General features: G+C 35.0%; 3 annotated features.

Moving 5' to 3' along the window:
* Positions 3,404-3,959: an enhancer, noted in NCBI's record as "H3K4me1 hESC enhancer chr3:84596975-84597530 (GRCh37/hg19 assembly coordinates)". NCBI's record gives its function as "activates a minimal SCP1, AML or CMV promoter by ChIP-STARR-seq in naive H9 embryonic stem cells {active_cell/tissue: H9 hESC(naive)}" and the evidence as "EXISTENCE:reporter gene assay evidence [ECO:0000049][PMID:30033119]".
* Positions 3,675-3,734: a silencer, noted in NCBI's record as "silent region_14543". NCBI's record gives its function as "represses an Ori minimal core promoter by ATAC-STARR-seq in GM12878 lymphoblastoid cells {active_cell/tissue: GM12878}" and the evidence as "EXISTENCE:reporter gene assay evidence [ECO:0000049][PMID:35858748]".
* Positions 3,960-4,514: an enhancer, noted in NCBI's record as "H3K4me1 hESC enhancer chr3:84597531-84598085 (GRCh37/hg19 assembly coordinates)". NCBI's record gives its function as "activates a minimal SCP1, AML or CMV promoter by ChIP-STARR-seq in naive H9 embryonic stem cells {active_cell/tissue: H9 hESC(naive)}" and the evidence as "EXISTENCE:reporter gene assay evidence [ECO:0000049][PMID:30033119]".

The raw sequence follows: 18,647 nt of genomic DNA on the forward strand, positions 1-18,647 counted from the left end.
CTCTCTTCTATCACTAGTAGTTTGCCGTATTTTGTTTCTATCTTTGTGCCCATGTGCCCGCAATATTTTATTCCCACTAGCAAGTGAGAACATGTGCATTTGGTTTTCAATGCCTATATGAAAATTTTTCAAGCTGTGAATTTTTAGCTTGAAAATTTCTGGTGTATAGAAATGTTACTATTTTTTGTACACTTGTTTTGTATCTTGAAACTTTAATCAAGTTGTTTATCAGTTACAATAACTTTTTGTGGCATCTCTAAGGGTTTTCTAGATATAGAATCATATCATCAGGGAAAAGAGATAGTTTTATCTATTTTCCTATTTCAATACCTTTTTTTTTTCTCTTGCTTGATTGCTTCGGATAGGACTTCCAGTGCTATGTTGCTTAAGAGTGGGGAGAGTGGGACTCCTTGTTCCAGTTCCTAAGGGGAGTGCATCTAGCTTTTGCACATTTAGTATGATGTTGACTATGGGTTTTTTATAAATGGCTCTTATTATTTGAGGTATCAATCAAACTTCAGTCTCTAGCTTGTTGAGGGTTTTTTGTCATAAAGCAATGTTGGATTTATCAAATGCTTTTTTCCACACCTATTAAGATGATTATACGGTTTTTGCTTTTCATTCTGTTTACGTGGTGAATCACATTTATTGATTTGTGAACGTTGAACCATCATTGCATACCAGGAATAATGCTTACTTGATTGTGGTGCATTAACGTTTTTTATGTGCTGCTGGATTTAGTTTGATAATGTTTTGTTGAAGATTTTTGTACCTATATTCATCAGGGATATTGGCCTGAAGTTTTTGTTACTTTTTCCATTGTGTCTCTACCATATTTTGGTATCAGGCTGATGCTGGTTTCATTGAATGAGTAGAAGAGTCCCTCTTCAATTTTTGGAATACATTCAGTAAAACTGGTGTCAGTTCTTCCTTCTAACAGAATTTGACAGTGAATCTACCAGACTGAGGACTCTTTTTTTTTTTTTTTGGTTGGTTGGTATGTTTTTTCTTAATCCTGATTCAATTTTGTAACTTGTTATTGGTCTGTTCAGGTTCTCATTTTCCTCTTCGTACAATCTTGGGAGGTTTTGCATTTCTAGGAATATATCCTTTTCTTCCAGATTTTCTAATTTGTGTGCATAGAGTTGTCCATAATAATCTCTGTGACCTTCTGTATTTCTTTGAGATCAGTTATATCATCATCAGTCATTTCATATTGTATTTATTTTGATCTCCTATTTTTTTCTGTGTTAATTAAGGTAGAAGTCTCTCAATTTTGTCTGTTCTTCCAAGACCCAACTCTTGGTTTAATTGATTATTTTTATTGATTTTTGCAACTCAGTTTTATTCAGTGCTTCTCTAATTTTAGTTATTTCTTTTCTTCTGCTAGTTTTAGGATTAGTTTGCTCTCTTTCATTCTAGTTCCTCTATGTGTAGAGTTAGATTGTTAATTTGAGATCTTTTTAACTTCTTGATGAAGGCCTTTAGTACTGTAAACTTTCCTCTTAACATTGTTTTAGCTTCATACCAGAGAGTTTGCTAAGTAATGTCCCTGTTTTAATTAATTTCAAATAATATTTACATTTCTGTCTTAATTTTGATGTTCACCTAGGAGTTATTCTGAGCAAGTTGTTTAATTTTCATGTGTTTGTCTTGTTGTGAGAGATATGCTTGATATTGATTTTTATTTATATTTCACTATGGTGCAAGACTGTGCTTAGTGTAATTTTATTTCTTTTTAATTTTTTGAGACTTGGTTTATAACTGAGCATGTGGTCAATCTTAGAGTACGTTTTGTGTGCAGATGAGAAGAATGCATATTATGTGTTTGTTGGGTGGGATAATCTGTAGATATTTATTAGGTCCAATTAATCAAGTGTTGAGTTCAAGTCCAAAATGTCTTTGCTAGTTTTCTGCCTCAGTGATGTGTCTAAAGCTGATAGTGAGGCTTTGAAATCTTCCTCTATTATTGTTTAGTTATCTACATCTTTTGTATTTCAAGAAAAACTTGTTTTATAAATCTTGGTGCTTCAATGCTGGATGCATATCTATTTAGGATAGTTACGTCTTCTTGTTGAATTGTACCTTTTATCATTACGTAGCCCTTCTTCTTCCTTCTTAATTGTTATTGGTTTAAAGTCTGTTTTATCTGATATAAGAATAGCAACTCCAACACTTTTTCTTTTTCTATTTGCAAGGTAAGTCTTTCTCTATCCCTTTACTTTGAACTTGTGGATGCTATTACATATTAAGTGGGTCTTTTGAAAATACCAAATGGTTGGATCTTGTCTCTTTTTTAAAAATACAGCTTACCACTCTGTATATTTTAAATGGGGGCATTTAGGCGACTTACATTCAGTTTTAGTACTGCTATGTGAGACTTTGATCCTGTCATTATGCTATTAGCTGGTTCTTATGGAAAGCTGATTGTGTATTTGCTTCACAGTGCCTTTTGGCTATGTGCTTAAGTGTGTTTTTGTGATAGCAGGTGTTATTCTTTTGATTCCATGTTTAGTACTGCCTTAAGGACCACTTGTAAGGCTTTTCTAGTTGTAATGGATTCCCTCAGCATTTGTTTGTTTGAGAAGAATTTCATTTCTCTTTTGCCTATGAGGCTTAGTTTGATGGAATATGAAATTCTTGGTTGTAATTTCTTTTCTTCAAGGATGCTGGAAATAAACCCCAATCTCTTCTAGCTTGTAAGGTTTCTGCTGAGATGTTGGCTGCTATCCTGATAGGGTTCCCACTGTATGTGGCCTAACCTTTCTATCTTCTTTTAAGAATGTTTCTTTCACATTGACCTTTGTGAACCTTATGATTATGTGCCTTGGAGATGGTCGACTTTTATAGTATCTAGCCTCGGTTCTCTTTATTCTTGAATTTGTATGTCACCCTCTCTATTGAGATTAGTGAAATGTTCATGGACTATCCCCTCCAATATGTTTCCAAGTCACTTACTCTCTCTCCTTCTCTCTCAGGAATGCCAGTGAGTCATAGGTCTTATCTCTTTGCATAATCCCGTATTTCTCAGAGATGTTGTTTATTTTTCAATATTCTTTCTTTTTTATTTTTATCTGACTGAGTTGATTTAAAGAACAGTTCTTCAATCTCTGAGATTCTTTCCTCAGTTTTTTTTTCCTGCAATTAATACTTGTGATTATATTATGAAATTCTTGTAGTGAATTTTTCAGTTCTTTCTTTAAATGCCTATTTTGTCATCAGCTCCTGGAGATCATTATACTGGGTTTCCTGGCTTCTTTGGATTGCATTTTATGTTACTCCTGAATATCGATGAGCTTACTTACCGTACAGATTCTAAACTCTATGTCTGTCATTTCTGTCATTTCAGTCTGGTTAAGAATCATTGCTGGAAAGCTAGTGGGCTCATTTAGAGACAAAGGAATGCTTTGGCTTTTTGAATTGCCAGAATTCTTGTGCTGATTCTCTTTCTGGGAGAGCTGGTGTTCCCTTAATTGTGGGGTTAGTTGAGTACAGTCAGTCAGGTTCTTATCCAGGTGCTTTCAGAGGGCCAAAGCTCTGTATAGGATCTTTGTGGTTGGATTTTTGCCCTTGGTTTCACAGGGGTGTTACACAGTCACTCAATACTTTAGGTATTGTAGTTTGAGATGTAATCCAGTAGATGGCGCTTAAAATTAACGGTCTGTAGGCTGTTACTCGGCCGTGCAGCTCTTTCGTATTTCTCTGCATTCCCAGGCCTGCTCTGCAGTGGGAAGGGAGAGATGTCCTCTGACCAGGTCAACTCTGGGCCTTTGGAGACCCCCCTCCGGCCCCAGTCACTGGCGCCACACCTGCATTTCCTTTGGTGTTTTGGGCCAAACAGGCCGCTCCAAGAAGATAGGCCACACCTTTTCTGGACTGGCACTGCGGAAGGAGGTATGCTCCCGTCCTGCACCGTCCCATGAACCCATGCATCTCACTCCTCACAGTGCTCTGAGAGTGGGGCCTTCTCCCCCACTTGGATGCCAGCCACAGACCTTGGTTCAGCCCTTGCGAGCTGTATGCAACAGCCCTGGGACGTGAAACTGGCCCAGCTGCTCTGGGAATCCAAAGGGCTCCCACGTTGCTGGGAATATTGGGAGCAAATCACCCAGGCTGGGCTGTGGAGTGTGCGCTGTGCACACACTCTTGCGGTATGGCCAGGGAGGGACCTTGGAAGGGACTGGCATTCAGGAGTGCCGGCAGAACAGATGTGCCCCTGTCCTCAGGTAGAAACTGACTTTGCTCTCTCCTGGCCCGCAGTCAGCTGCTACTAGAGTTTCTTGGAGGACGATGGTGGCCGCTAGGGGGATGGGCACCTATAGCCACATTCCGCAGAAACTGTTCCATGAACAAAAGCCCTTGGGCTCCATGCCGGCCGAAGCTCTGACTCCTCCTACTCTTGGGCAGATCCCCTGCAAGCTGAAATATCCAATGGGGACATGGAATCCTCTGTAATTAAGAAACCAGCAGTCTGTGGCAAGAATGGGCTGTCCCTCAGTCCCTTCACTCACCCATTTCCCAGGAGCCCTCTGGGGCTGGGAACTAGCCCTAGCATTTGAGTCCCCAGCACAGGATTTCTAGCTTTCTCCCTCTTCAGCCTCGGAGTTTGCATTGCTTCTTCATCCTCTGAATTGAATACCTGCTCAAATTATGTTGGTTTACATGATATTTTGCTCTCTCTTGGTGAAGGCAGCGCTTCCTGGCTGGGTCTAGTCGGTTATCTTGTCCCCCTTCTCTACCATCATTCTTGATGTTAACTTTGACAGCTTGATTAAGGTGCTCTCTAGTAGCCTTTATCATTGCAAAATTGGGTTGTTGTTGTTTTTTCCATTTTGAGTACCTATTTCATGGGGAAATCCTTTGTGTAATAACTTATTCCTCATCAAATATTTTACACACCAGTTTTAGTACACATTCACAAATATATTTCTGCATTAATCTTTACTCTGAAGGTTGCCAAATGGTGATTTTTAAATAGGTATAAATGATAGAGATGCTTTATAAAAAGAGATATACTTTAAATTTCAAATACACTATAAATGAGATCCTGTTATATCTTTCATTATATAATCTACTTTTATTTTAATACATAACTTACATTTAAATCAATTAATACATACTTTTAATGGCTACATTGTAGACAGTTGCATGTAGTGTGATTTTTAGAACAAAAAATTTATATTATCTTTTGTTTTTTATAATATAAACAGTTTAATATTGAACATTTTTATACAAAATTTTTAAACACTAATAAACATTTTAAGATAAACTGTCAAGAGAGAAATACCAATAACACATTAATATGGTTTGGCAGTGTCCCCACCCAAATCTCATCTTGAATTGTAGTTCCCATAACCCCCACATGTGGTGGGAGGGACTCTGTGGGAGGCAATTTAATCATGGAGGTGGTTACCCTAATGATGTTCTTGTGATAATGAGTTCTCACAAGATCTGATGGTTTTATAAGGCGCTTTTCCCCCTTCTGTTCTGCACGTCTTCTCTCTTGCCTGCTACCATGTAAGAGGTGACTTTGCTCGTCATTCGCCTATCGCCATGAGTGTGAGGCCTCCCCAGCTGTATAAGAACTATGAATCAATTAAACCTCTTTCCTTTATAAATTACCCAGTCTCAGGTATGTCTTCATTGGCAGCGTGGGAACAGACTGATACACACATTTCCACCTTGGCTTCCAAGAAAAGCATATATATATATACTTTTATATATTATATCCCACCTATAATAAACAGAAGTATCTCTGTACAAGCTTATGAATAATGCATTTTTTTGATTTCTTACAAGCACATATAGATTACATAAAGATAAGTGGCATTTACCGTTTTATTTTATTTGATCACCAGTGATGTTGAATTTTTATTTTATAATCATGTTTTGTGATTATTATTTTTAAGAAATAATTGTTTATATTCTTCAACCATGTCTTATTTTGAAATAATCTTCTTTTTCTCATTGACTTATGTGAATTCTTAATATATTAATGAAAAAATCCTCTCATATTTATATCAGTTACCAATTTCCATTCATATTTAATGTGGTTCACTGTGCTTTTAAATAATTTACTAAGTTTATAATTAACTCTATCAATCATGAAAGCAGGTGTTTCCCATATCTGCTGATGAAATTTCTGTTTATTTTTAGTTAATAGGTATAAAAATATTTCTCTTTTAATGCTTTTTCTACAATATTCTATTTGTTCTATGTTAAAATATTAATCTGCTTTATTTTTATTTTTTAATTCTTCACAGCCCCTGTATTCTTAAGTGGTGGAAGAATTTGCACCTGTGGAGCAAAGTGTTCTAATTTTTTTAAAATTCTAATATGTAATATATTGATTGTAAACCGTCATTGTTAAATCTACTTCAGTTACCATTACAAATATCATATTTGGCTTTTGTGTTGACAATATATTTTTAAGTTTTTAGTTTATCTTTTCTTATTGTTACCATGTTTTCTTATTCATCTTTGTCTTACTCAGATTTATTTCCTTCTAATCATTTTTTTCTTTAGTCACTTTAAATTGTATTATATTTCAATATTTACACTATTAGTTATCTTAGTATTAATATTACTGTAATCAAATTTTAAAATGATTCAATATGTAATTTTTGGCAATAGAATATTATCTACTTTTTATTTACCATAGTGTTTCACATATAAACTCAGCCAATTAACAGAAGAAATTTAGTGTTCATTTCCTCTCCTCTATCTTGTAGTTATATTAATTGATGTACTTTCTTTTTCTTTTTTGATCTATTTTAGTAATTTTGAGTTTATATGCAAATTACTTCCTTTGACACTTTGCTGGCTTAAGTCTTATATTTTACAAATTTTTGAGATTTAAATTAATTTTCATTATTCTGCTATCTTTAAGCTTTACTGATTTCACTGAGGACAGTCATATTTGGAATACAAAGTTTCCTTACAAGTTGATTTTTAATTTTTATTTATGTCTCACTTTATCGAAGTAATGCTTTACATAACTAACTCAGGAAAGGCAATTGGTGAAATCTTTTCTGTTCTTGCATTCCTGGAGTTTTATTATTTTACCAACATATATTTATAATAACATGTTTTAGCATGGAATATTGGGTAAACTATGAGGATTAGTTGTAATGTGTCAACTTGACTGGGCAATGGGATGTCCAGATGTTTGATAAAACATTATTCTGGGTGGGTCTGTTGGGGGGAGGGTTGATGAGATTAACATTTGAATCAGTACACTGAGTAAGGCAGATTGTCTTTCCTTATGTGAGTGGCTGTCAGTCACTCAGTTGAAGGCCTTAACAGAACAAATTGTTGATCCTCCTGTGAATAAGAGAGAATTCCTCCTGCCTGACTGCTTTGAACTGGGAAATCTGTCTTTTTCAGTTTTCTGAATTAAACTGAAACATTCGCTCTTCCTGAGTATAACTGAGTAGAGGCTAAACATCCCTAATCTGAAAATCCAAAATTTGAAAAGCCTCACAATCTGAAATTTTTGAATGCTGACATGATGACATAAGTAGAAAATTTTACACCTGACCTCATGTGACAATTTGCAGTCAAAACTTTTTCTTGCACAAAATATTAAAAATATTGTATGAAATTCCTTCCAGATTATGTGTATAAGATATATATACACACATATGTTTAAGAAAATTGAAACATATCTTCAAAAAATTGTATATGAATCTACAGATTAAACAAATGTGGATGTCTATACAATGAAATATTATCCAACTATATATATATATGAAGTATTAATGCAGGCTACAACATGGATGACCCTGAAAATAAGTAAAGTAAGTAAAAAAAACCTACTTACAAAAAGCCATATACTGCATGATTCCCTTTACATGAAATGTCCTGAATAGGCAAGTCCATAGACAAAAGAGATTAGTTGTTGTGTGGGACCGGGAACAGCAGAGAATAGAGAGTGGTTATTGATGAGTATGAGATTTCTTTAGGGGATGATAAAAATGTTTTGAAATTAGTGGTGATGTTTGCACAATGCTTGAATGTTCTAAAAGCCACTGGACTTTACACCTAAGACAGTGAAGTTTATGATATATAAATTAGATCTCAAAAAAATCATTAAATATCCTCCATATCAGGCACTGTTCTACTATAGAAATTATAGCAGAAAATAAAAGAGACAAGGTTTCTATTATTATGCTTACATTTTAGTTTAGTAGAGAAAGAAAAATGAATAAACAAAGGTCTAAAAGACCAAAAGAAATCATATCATGCTTAGTGATGATAAGTACTGTTATTGACTGAATGTGTCCTCATGCTAAATGGCATATGTTGAAATCCTACCCCACAATGTAATGGTAATAATCATTCGGGTCTTTGGGTAATTAGTTCATGTAGTTCATGGGTAACTAATTACCTTTGGTTCACTAGGGTAGAGTCCTAATGAATGGGTTTAGTGCCCTTATAAAAGGAAGCCCAGAGAGCTCTCTGGCCCTCTGCTCTCCACTATATGAAGAAGTTAGTAGTTTGCAGCCCAGGTAAGGGCCCTCTCCTGAACCTGACCATGCTGGCACCGTGATCTGGGAATTTCAATCTCCAGAACTGTCAAAAATACTTTTTTTAAAATAAGCCATCCACCATCCACCCAGTCCATGTCACTTTGTTATAGCAACTTGAGCTACAACAAGTGTTATGCCAAAAAAATAAAGAGGTAGAAGAGTAAAATGATAAGTACTAGAGACTGGATATGGTGGTAGGGAGATGAAGAGAGGTTGATTAATGGGTACCAATACACAGTTAGTTAGAAGAAATAAGTTCTAGTGTTCCATAGCAAAACAGAGTGACTAGAGTTAACAACAATCTATTGTATATTTCAAAATAGTTGAAAAGATTTGAAATGTTCCCGTTATAAATAAATGATAAATGTTTGAGGTAATTGATATATTAAATATCCCAATTTGATAATTACACATTGTATGCATTTATTAAAATATCACATGGACCCAATAAACATGTACAATTACTATGCATCAATTTTTTTAAAAAAGATGATGTGATAAGAGTATCTGGAGGACAGCCTTCTACAAGTAAATGAAATATAGGCTAGGTCAGAATCTAAATGAAATGAGCTAGCCATGGCAACATTTAGGGGGATGACATTCTAGGCAGAAAGAATATCTAATATACAAGGCCCCATTTGAGACTGAACCTAGCAAACTGTAAGAACAATAAAAAGATGGACATGGCTGGAGAACACTGGATGAGGGAGGGAGTGCAACAGAATAAGGTATAAGCATTAGGCAGGGACCAGCTTGAGCAGAACTTTGACATCCAAAGTTATAAGTTTGGATGCTTTTCCTTAGCAACATGGAAAGCCAATGAAAGTTGTGAGAAAAAAAAAAAAAAAAGATGAGGCAAGACAGGCAGGACAGGACCAGATAGGTCAGAACAGGAAATGAAAAAAATGCAGAATAAATAGATGAAGCCTAATAGACATTTCAATAGCATAGACTGTTGAGTTTGGAAGCAGCTAGAGAAAAGGGAGGGCAGATTTATAAGCATTTTGAGTGGGCTGGAAAAGCCTTTTCAAGATTTAGACTTAGCTCTACCTATGCTTAGAATTATATTCTTAAACACACCTCTTACTGTATTACCTGCATTGAAAATAAAACCTCAGCTTTCTCATCTCTAAAAAATAAATAAATAAATAAGGTTAACCTCTGACTTTTCCATTTCATCATCTTATGGTAAGGAATAATCAGAAAAAATGTATACAATATGTATATAAAATTATATATAAAATGCATTTCAAGCTCTGTAATAACATATAAATAGGCAGAAAGCAGAGAGGAATAGCATGGAATTTGTAGGAAGATTAAATTGACTCCCAATTTTAGGATTGCCTCTTACGATCTATGTATTCTGAGAAGTTTAATAAACTCTATGAGTCTCAGTATCTTTCCCTATAAAATGGTGGTAATAATATTAACTACTTGAGTTTTAAAAAGTGTCATGATAAGGTACATAAAGCACTTAGCACAAAGCCTTGCACACAGCAAGTATATAATAAAAGATATATTTTAGCGGTGGTGGTGGAAGTGGTTATTGAGGTGGTACTAGTAGGAATAGCAGTAGTAGCGCCAATCAAACTGCCCTCATGAAAATGCTTCAGGACAGTTTGCATATAATGCATGCACTATTTGTTTCATATTCTAAAATAAACTTCCTATACTTGCCGACTAAGAATTTTATTCATAATTGTAGCATACCTTTCTCTTATTTCAACCTAATCTAATCCCGATTTTAATTCATGAAAATGAAGAAAAAATATCTGAGAGGTGATTGAACTTATCTTCCATTTGTAGGTGTGCATATTTTGAAGTAGCTTGAAGTAGAGAAAAGAACATACATATTGGGTTCAAAAATGACATGATTATATCATCTTTAAAGGATGTTAAAATAGATCAAAATCCCAATTCCCTCATCCGTAAAATGGCAGCAATACTATCTGATGGTGTTGTGTGGGATTAATTGTGGTATACTATATAAAGTTCCTGAACATCACCTGGCACATAGTAAATACACAATATATAATAACTCTTTTTATTATATCTTAATCTAAATCTCACTTCTATCTTCTACTTTTAGAGGAACTGTGAAAATCATTTTTATATTAAAGTGACAATATTTTCCATATCAGTTCTTCCTAAAGAGAGTGAATTGAGTATTTATCACTAATTTTTGATCACTCTTCCTGCTGTCTTGGTCCTTTTGCACCTGATAAAATCTCCAAAATGCATTCATTTTATACTAGAGATCTGAAAATCATATCAAATGCTTTATTTCCTGGAGTTTGGATTAATGCAACTGTAACCATTGAAGTTTCTCTCAACTGAATTAATAATCACTTAATCTTTTGCTGAGCAAGAGCTTAATGCTTTCCTGTTACTCTTGTTCCTTCAAAGAAACTTCAAAGATAAAAATACTGCCTAAGTATTTTTATCTCCTTTTACCTTCCATAATCTTCATGTTTCTTATCTTTGATGGAAACAAATAAACAATTACAATAAATGATAAATTAGAACCACTTCAACATTTACCTTGTTTTCTCTTTATTCCCATTAATGTTTTTCATATTGCGTTCTTCTCTCCCCTTCTTTAGTTGCTCACACCATTTCATCCATATGATTTCCTTTTTAAGATTTTCATCCTTTAATAGGTCACCCTTACAGTTAGTATTTGGAGACATAAAATGACAGTAGTTCATATGATTTTCTATAACTACATTCCTTTTTCTGTTTTTCTTAATTTATTTTCTGTTAACATGTTCAGTTTGGTTTGTATACAACCCACGCTCTCATAGGTATTCTGTGACTTCCACTTGTCTTTTTCTGTTGAAGTTTCCATAGAAGGGCACCTAGGAATACTTGCTGACTAGACAAAGTTTGTTTTCTTAAACTTGCAAGGCAGAACACCAGCCATCGACCATCTCAGGAATGTTTCAAAGAGGGAGGTCCAGCAGAATTGGTGAAACTTGGTAAAATAAACCAGTTACTGGAAAAGTGATGAGTTTATCTTTGGAATATTAGTCTGTGTAAAATCTGAGTTTAGTTAATCTATCTATGGTCTTATTGTGGAAAAATATGGCCATAACACTCGTTAAAATAATTTTCACTCAAGCTACACTGCATGGTATTGTTTTTCAGTTTAACTGTTTTGTGAGGCATGGTACAGTTACTTTCCAAATTTTGGGTTCTGTTTAATTTGTCATTTTTTTCTCCCTTACTCTATTTCCCTTCTTCCTTTTCTGTGAAGGAGAAAAATATCACCATTTAATATATGGGAAATATACTCAGTCATCTCATAACTAATACATAACAAAAGTAGACCTAAAATATGACTATAATCTAAATACTCTTTGCTTATTCTAGCAGCATTTCTAAATAGACTAGAAAATATTTTTAATGATTCATCATTTTTTATGTATACATGATTTTTATTGTATAATTGATGAAAATCAAAACCAAATTAATTAATGAACAATATATATTATGGAAACACTCATAATCTGAGACTACTTTATTATCATATTTTCAGTGTTAATACGTAATTAATTATGTCGTCAAACTGATTTTCAATGTTTTAAATGCAGACTGTGACGGTGTATTTTTAGTAAAAGCTCTAAAATGTTCCCTCACTGCTTTAGTGGTTACTTTATTTCAAATCATATAAATTGTGAAAAGAAAGAAAATTTGTGTTATTATAGCTTTCAGATGGAATTACAGGAGTCTTCTTTTAGAGGAATAGATGCCATTTATTTGAGAAATATGGTTCATGAAGTGAAAGTACAGGAAACAATGAAGGAGAATTGGATTAGAGATGAGCAAAGACGTTTCCCAACTCCCTCAGTGTTTTTGGAAACAGCACAATAAATGCGCAAGGTATTTGCTCAAAATATATAATACACCTGGGCATGAAATATCTCATCTATTTTATGTGCCAAACATAAAAAAAACAACAAACCATAACAGGAAAAAACAAAATAATGTATTTTTCTGTCTTCAAAGCATTAAAAGCTTCTGCTTATTTATATGACTTTGCTCAGTGAAAAATCTGTAAAATAAATAAGCTGTGCGCTACAAATAAGGACTAATTTGATGAATATAAATGAGGCAAGGTAATTTATTTAGATATTAATTTGTGTTTAATAATTTAAAGTCTCTCTTCTGATAAGTTATCCATAATTTTGCATTTATTTTTCTGGGTGAATGGATGCTGTCCTAGTATCAAAAGTTGGTTCAAGTCACTGGTTCTTCCTGCGATTTGTAAAATCCCAAACTAACTAAACCAAATATGCTAGCACTTTATAGAGTAAAGAGAAAACAGGGGTCAAGAATGAAGGAAAAAAATTTCCCAAACTTGGGAGAGATTCTTGAAGAGTGGAAAGCTCTAACTATTCAGAATGGTCTCTTTTGTGAGGTGTGAACCCCGCAGAACAGCTTTCTGACAGGTGCTCCTGGATAGCCAGGCTCTAAGTCTTTTGTTTGTTAGTTTGTTTGGTTGGATGGTTGTTTGTTTTGTTTTGTTGTGTTTTTTTGGGACAGAGCCTCACTCTGTCGCCAGGCTGGAGTGCAATGATGCGATCTCGGCTCACTGCAAGCTCCGCCTCCCGGGTTCAAGCCATTCTCCTGCCTCAGCCTCCTGAGTAGCTGGGACCACAGACGCCCGCCACTACGCCCGGCTAATTTTTGTATTTTTAATACAGATGGGGTTTCACCATGTTGGCCAGGATGGTCTCAATCTCTTGACCTCGTGATCCACCCGCCTCGGCCTCCCAAAGTGCTGGGATTACAGGCGTGAGCCACCGCACCCTAGCTCTAGGTATTAAAACACTTGATTTGACAGTATTTCCTGGCTCCAAGTTTGGCATGAAAGACGTAAGTCTGTGTAAAATTTGAGTTAAATTAGTCTGTCTATGGTCTTATCCTGGAAAATATGACCATAACACTGTTTATTAAAAACAATTTGAACTCAAGCTAGGCCAGTGAATCTCAAGGCTAGAAAATTAGACATTCACAGGGTCACCACAGCAGTGTGACGGCCAGAGTGGCCAATCAATGATTTGTCAGTGTGTGACAATCTGGGACCTTCAAATGACTCTAGAGAAAGGAAGATCTAATAATGAAGAATGGATTATTTACTAGTCCTACAGGACAGTGAGTTAGTTGAAGATCTCTCTGGAAAGTGGCAAACAACCAACATTAACCAAGTTACAGTGTTTCCTTCTGGGGACCATGAATGCAGATACAAATGGAGAACCACTAATCTGTAGACAGCCTCAAAATAAATGCTCAAATTTTATAAGGTACAAATAAGAATTATTATGTCATATCTTATGCTATGGCATTTGTTCTAAGCATATTGAAAGTGAAACACATGGTGTTCTTTCTAAGCACAGGAAAAAATAAATGGTCTTATGTGGTTCCTAGTGCTATATGAAAGGCTACCTCCAAGTACAAACTACAAAGTATTAAAAGAAACATCAAAATCATTTCAATGGGGCTAGGGTTCTGGTTTAATTTATTGTTCACCTGAAATCCATATTTAAACTTGTTTTTAAATTTTCAATAGAAAGCTAAAACTCACTATAAATTATAGAAGTGCACTGGTAACCTTAAATATATTAGAAATATACAACCCGTTATTTACCTCTTTGCCTAACTCCTCCATAATTTCTAAATGAACCCTAAACTTACATCCTCTGCAATTACAGTCTTCGCTTTTATTCTGAAGAAAGAGCAATATTATTTATTTTCACAAATAAGAAATTGTGAATATGTTATATAAATATATCAATTTGTAACTCTGTGTGTGTGTGTGTGTGTGCGCCTCTGGAATTAGGTACGTCTTTCTGGAGTTTCCTTATTAGTTATACATGGAGTTGTAAATTAATTTCCAGGCCTTGCTCTTTTAGCCCAGGACAAAGTTTCAGTAATATTTGCTCAAAAGTCTCCAGCTGAGTAGAAACATAAAAATATTCTCTCTATAGCTCCAGAGTTTCATATTTATCTGGCCCTTCACGTATTCTTTTAACTCTGTAGGCAAATTATTTTTATTTGCCCCATGGTATACATCTACTTTTTTGACAAATTGTACATGAATTTGAGGTCTGCTTTCTTCTAAAGCGTGTGGAAATATAAGTGAAAGAGTAACATAAACCTACAAATAAAAGGAGAATGAAGAAGAAATAAAGTAGAAAGAAAATATTAATACATATTTGAAACTGAAGTGCTAATGGTCAAATGGTAACGGACTAGAAAATCTATGCGTTGTAGACAATCTGACCTATGTAGCTTGCAGAAGCATGAAAAAGCTCACATGGTAGAAAAGCTCTTCTATACCAGGTATAGAAAAACATGGAGGCAGGCTGGGGTGGTGGCTCACACCTGTAATCCCAGCAATTTTAGAGGCCAAGGCAAGTGGATTGCTTGAGCCCAGAAGTTCGAGACCATGCTGGGCAAGATGGCGAACCTGTCTCTACAAAAAATGCAAAAATTAGCCAGGCATGGTGGCGCATAGCTGTAGTCCCAGCTACTCGGGAGGCTGAGGTGGGAGGATTGCATGAACCTGGGAGGTGGAGATTGCAGTGAACCAAGATCGCATCACTGCACTCACACACACAAATATATATATATTAAAAAAAAAAAAAAGGCTTTGGACATTAAAAGTCAAAATATTCTTTCAAAGTCCCTGTAAGAAAAACATACTATCTGGCCACCAGTTCTAACTGGAAGAGGCTGGTAAATGACCCTTCTCTATCTCCACAAAATCATAGACATGTGAAAATGCAACAAGCCTTATTAGAAACAAAACATGAAAAAAAAAACAAGCATGTTCTGATATTGAATAAAGATATGAATGTTAAACAAAATAAATCTACACGTAGACTCATTACAGTAAAATGAAAAATGTAATGTATTTGCTTACCATTTTTGCTGTTATAAATGACCACAAGTTTGGTAGCTTAACCTAAATTAATTGTCTTTCAGTTTTGGAGGTCAGAATTCTAAAATGGATGTTGACCATATGTCATAAAGGATACTAAGCACATATTTTTCACATCTAGGATTATTTAAGGTAGATTTTTCTGATTAAGCAATAGAATTTTTAATAATTGCTTTTTCTTTTAAAATAGAAAAATGTATAGCCTAATAAGAGATTTGTCTCTATGCTTTCTGTGAGCAGAGATTCCCAGATGGTGAGTGTTTTAAAAGTTTTCTTTTGTGTAATGTGAGTTCTGCCTATACAGTTTAGTTGAAAATTTTCAGAGTGTTTCAAGGGATGACTGTGAATTTCAATTTTTATAAAGGAAAGTTGAATGCAATGTAAAAAAAAAAGGGTAATGAGAGATTGGCACGTGAAACAAGGTCGTGCTTTTGGGTATGGTGTCATTAAAAATTCAAACTGAAGCTTTTTATTAATTTTATTTAACCTTGTTAGCCACTACGATTTTGTGTGTGGCAAGAGAGCTTTCTCATGGCAGAGAAGAGAAGAGCTGGTTCACAGTTAATTCTACAAATTACTTTAAAAAGGTCACGTATGTCTTCATACCTTTTAAAATCTATATTCAGATAAAGAATATAATTGTCAGTCAAATTTTTTAAAATTTCAACTATAGCATGCAGATTTGAACTTTATGTATATGATGTTCTCTGTGTTTTAGCATTTCTTTCCATTCCTTTCCAATTCAATTTTCATACACAGAGTTCTCCATAAAATCTCTGACTGGTTCTTTGCCAGTAACTGTCTTATTGATAAATTGTAGCTATAGATCCCTTCCAGGCTCTGCTATTGTAGAAAATTTCTATACTTTGGAGCACTGCTACCAAAGTTTGGAAAGACATTCTGAGTAACAATCCATAGTTATAGAAAATAAGAAAAGAAAAGTGTTATTAATCCGAGCCTATATTCCACATACATATGCTTTCTAGGAAAACAGTCATTGGATGAAATTTTTCTTGGAGAATGACAAAATGAACCTTTATGGAAAAGGGAAGAATGAATAAATAAATACAAACATACTGGATACATAACCAACCTGAATTTTACTCCATGATATAATTATAAAGGGGGTAAATCAAATGGTATCTCAGCCTTTAATAGCAAGACATTCAATGCTTTACGGAAGAGGGAAATTTTTGTTAATATCTGTAACTACACTAATTCTATCTATAGAACCACTGATAATTCAGGGTAAGCATAAAAGCTGCTGTAATAGGGAAATCTCTATCTTCTATATAACTTTAGTTTAGGATTATTCTGACTTAAAATGTTTAATTATATCCTAAGCCACAGAAGAGTTAATTATGTTATAAGCCAAAATATGTCTTTACCCATGATCTTGAATTTGACAACTTATGATATACCAAATGAATATAGACTTTCTCCTAAAAGTGGTCCAGTGTTTCCAAGTTCAAAACAAGTAGCAAAAAATATTTTATTTTCATGTAAAACAAGACACATGTCCATAGCCCTAGAAATTGTTTAAGAACACAGATTCTGGAGTCAAATTGCCTTGACTGGAATCTAGACATTTTTCCACATATTAGCTATGTGGTCTAAGGCTAGTGATATCATATATTTGTGCCTCAGTTCAATCCTTTGTAAAATAAAGTTAATGATAAAGTGTGCACATGTTAGGATTATCATGTTCAAAGTGTTTAGAACAGTACGGTGCATAAAACAGCATAGACTAAGTACTACATATGTATATGTGTGTGTGTGTATATATATACACACACACACACACACACACATACACACACACGAATATGTTAAACTATCTGAATTTCTCCATCAAACTCTAGCTGTATATATGTATACACATAAATATGTTAAACTATCTTGAATTTCTCCATCAAACTCTAGCCCCAGTTCTTTCTAATTTGGAGTGTTTAGAACAGAAATTGAAGCTTCTGGTATTGTTGAACAAGTGTGGTTCCTTTATTTTTCTAATTGAGCTATTGTTATTTCAATATTGGATGTTATTTTCTTTTTTTTTTTTTTTTTTTTTTTTTTTTTTGAGACGGAGTTTCGCTCTGTCGCCCAGGCTGGAGCGCAGTGGCGCGATCTCGACTCACTGCAAGCTCCGCCTCCCGGGTTCACGCCATTCTCCTGCCTCAGCCTCCCGAGTAGCTGGGACTACAGGCGCGCGCCACCATGCCCGGCTAATTTTTGTATTTTTAGTAGAGACGGGGTTTCACCGTGTCAGCCAGGATGGTCTAGATCTCCTGACCTCGTGATCCGCCCGTCTCGGCCTCCCAAAGTGCTGGGATTACAGGCGTGAGCCACCGCGCCCGGCCTCAATATTGGATGTTATTTTCTATTTTGGAAATGGCATTTACATTTTGAATATTGAACTAGGTAGGGGTCAAAATCCTGATGCTTTGCTGCTAAACTATGATTCTTTCTCTCTAAACTTAAAACGCATTGAGATAAAAAGACAGACCTCACATTTTGCCAACACACTTCACCTTATTTAGTACAAAATACTTAAACCAAACATTTTAAATAAGAATACAGATGTTTCTAGTTAGTGAATTAGTTATTTGTGGTAAACATTAGTTTGGTTCACCAAATGTTCCTGGCTCTTTCGCTTCCTGGAAGTTGCACTTCCAACCCCATTTTAACCAATAAGATGAGAGTGGAAAGTGAGTGACACTTATTGGTGTAAACTCTACACCGTTCTCCCTCTTGTTTACTTGAGTTAGGATACTAGGGAGGATGTCCCAGTTCTTCTACAGTGAGAATGAAACATGAGTGCAAAATAGACTTTTGCAGTATTCAGATAATACAGACTAGGAAGGGTCTAAGGTTTTCCCTGCTTGTAAGCCTGCAAGTTAGTCTGTTACAATTTCATGTCCATATACTGAAAGAAGAGCATAAGATCCTTAGATCAAAGGAATAGACCATGTATTACTGTCAGCAAAATCTACAGAGTACTTCCTCCAGGATTCTCACAGCAGGATGAAGTTTAATTGTTTAGATGTGCATGCAGGGAGCTGTACTACAGGGGAGGAAACCCAGAAAAGATTCTAAGTTTGTATGGAACTGGTGATACATCTGCCTATCCTCTCCTCTAGAGTAAAAGCTCTTAGTCATTAAGCAGCTCTCTT

The sequence above is a fragment of the Homo sapiens genome, chromosome 3 (genome assembly GCF_000001405.40).
Source record: "Homo sapiens chromosome 3, GRCh38.p14 Primary Assembly".
Classification (NCBI taxonomy): Eukaryota; Metazoa; Chordata; class Mammalia; order Primates; family Hominidae; genus Homo; species Homo sapiens.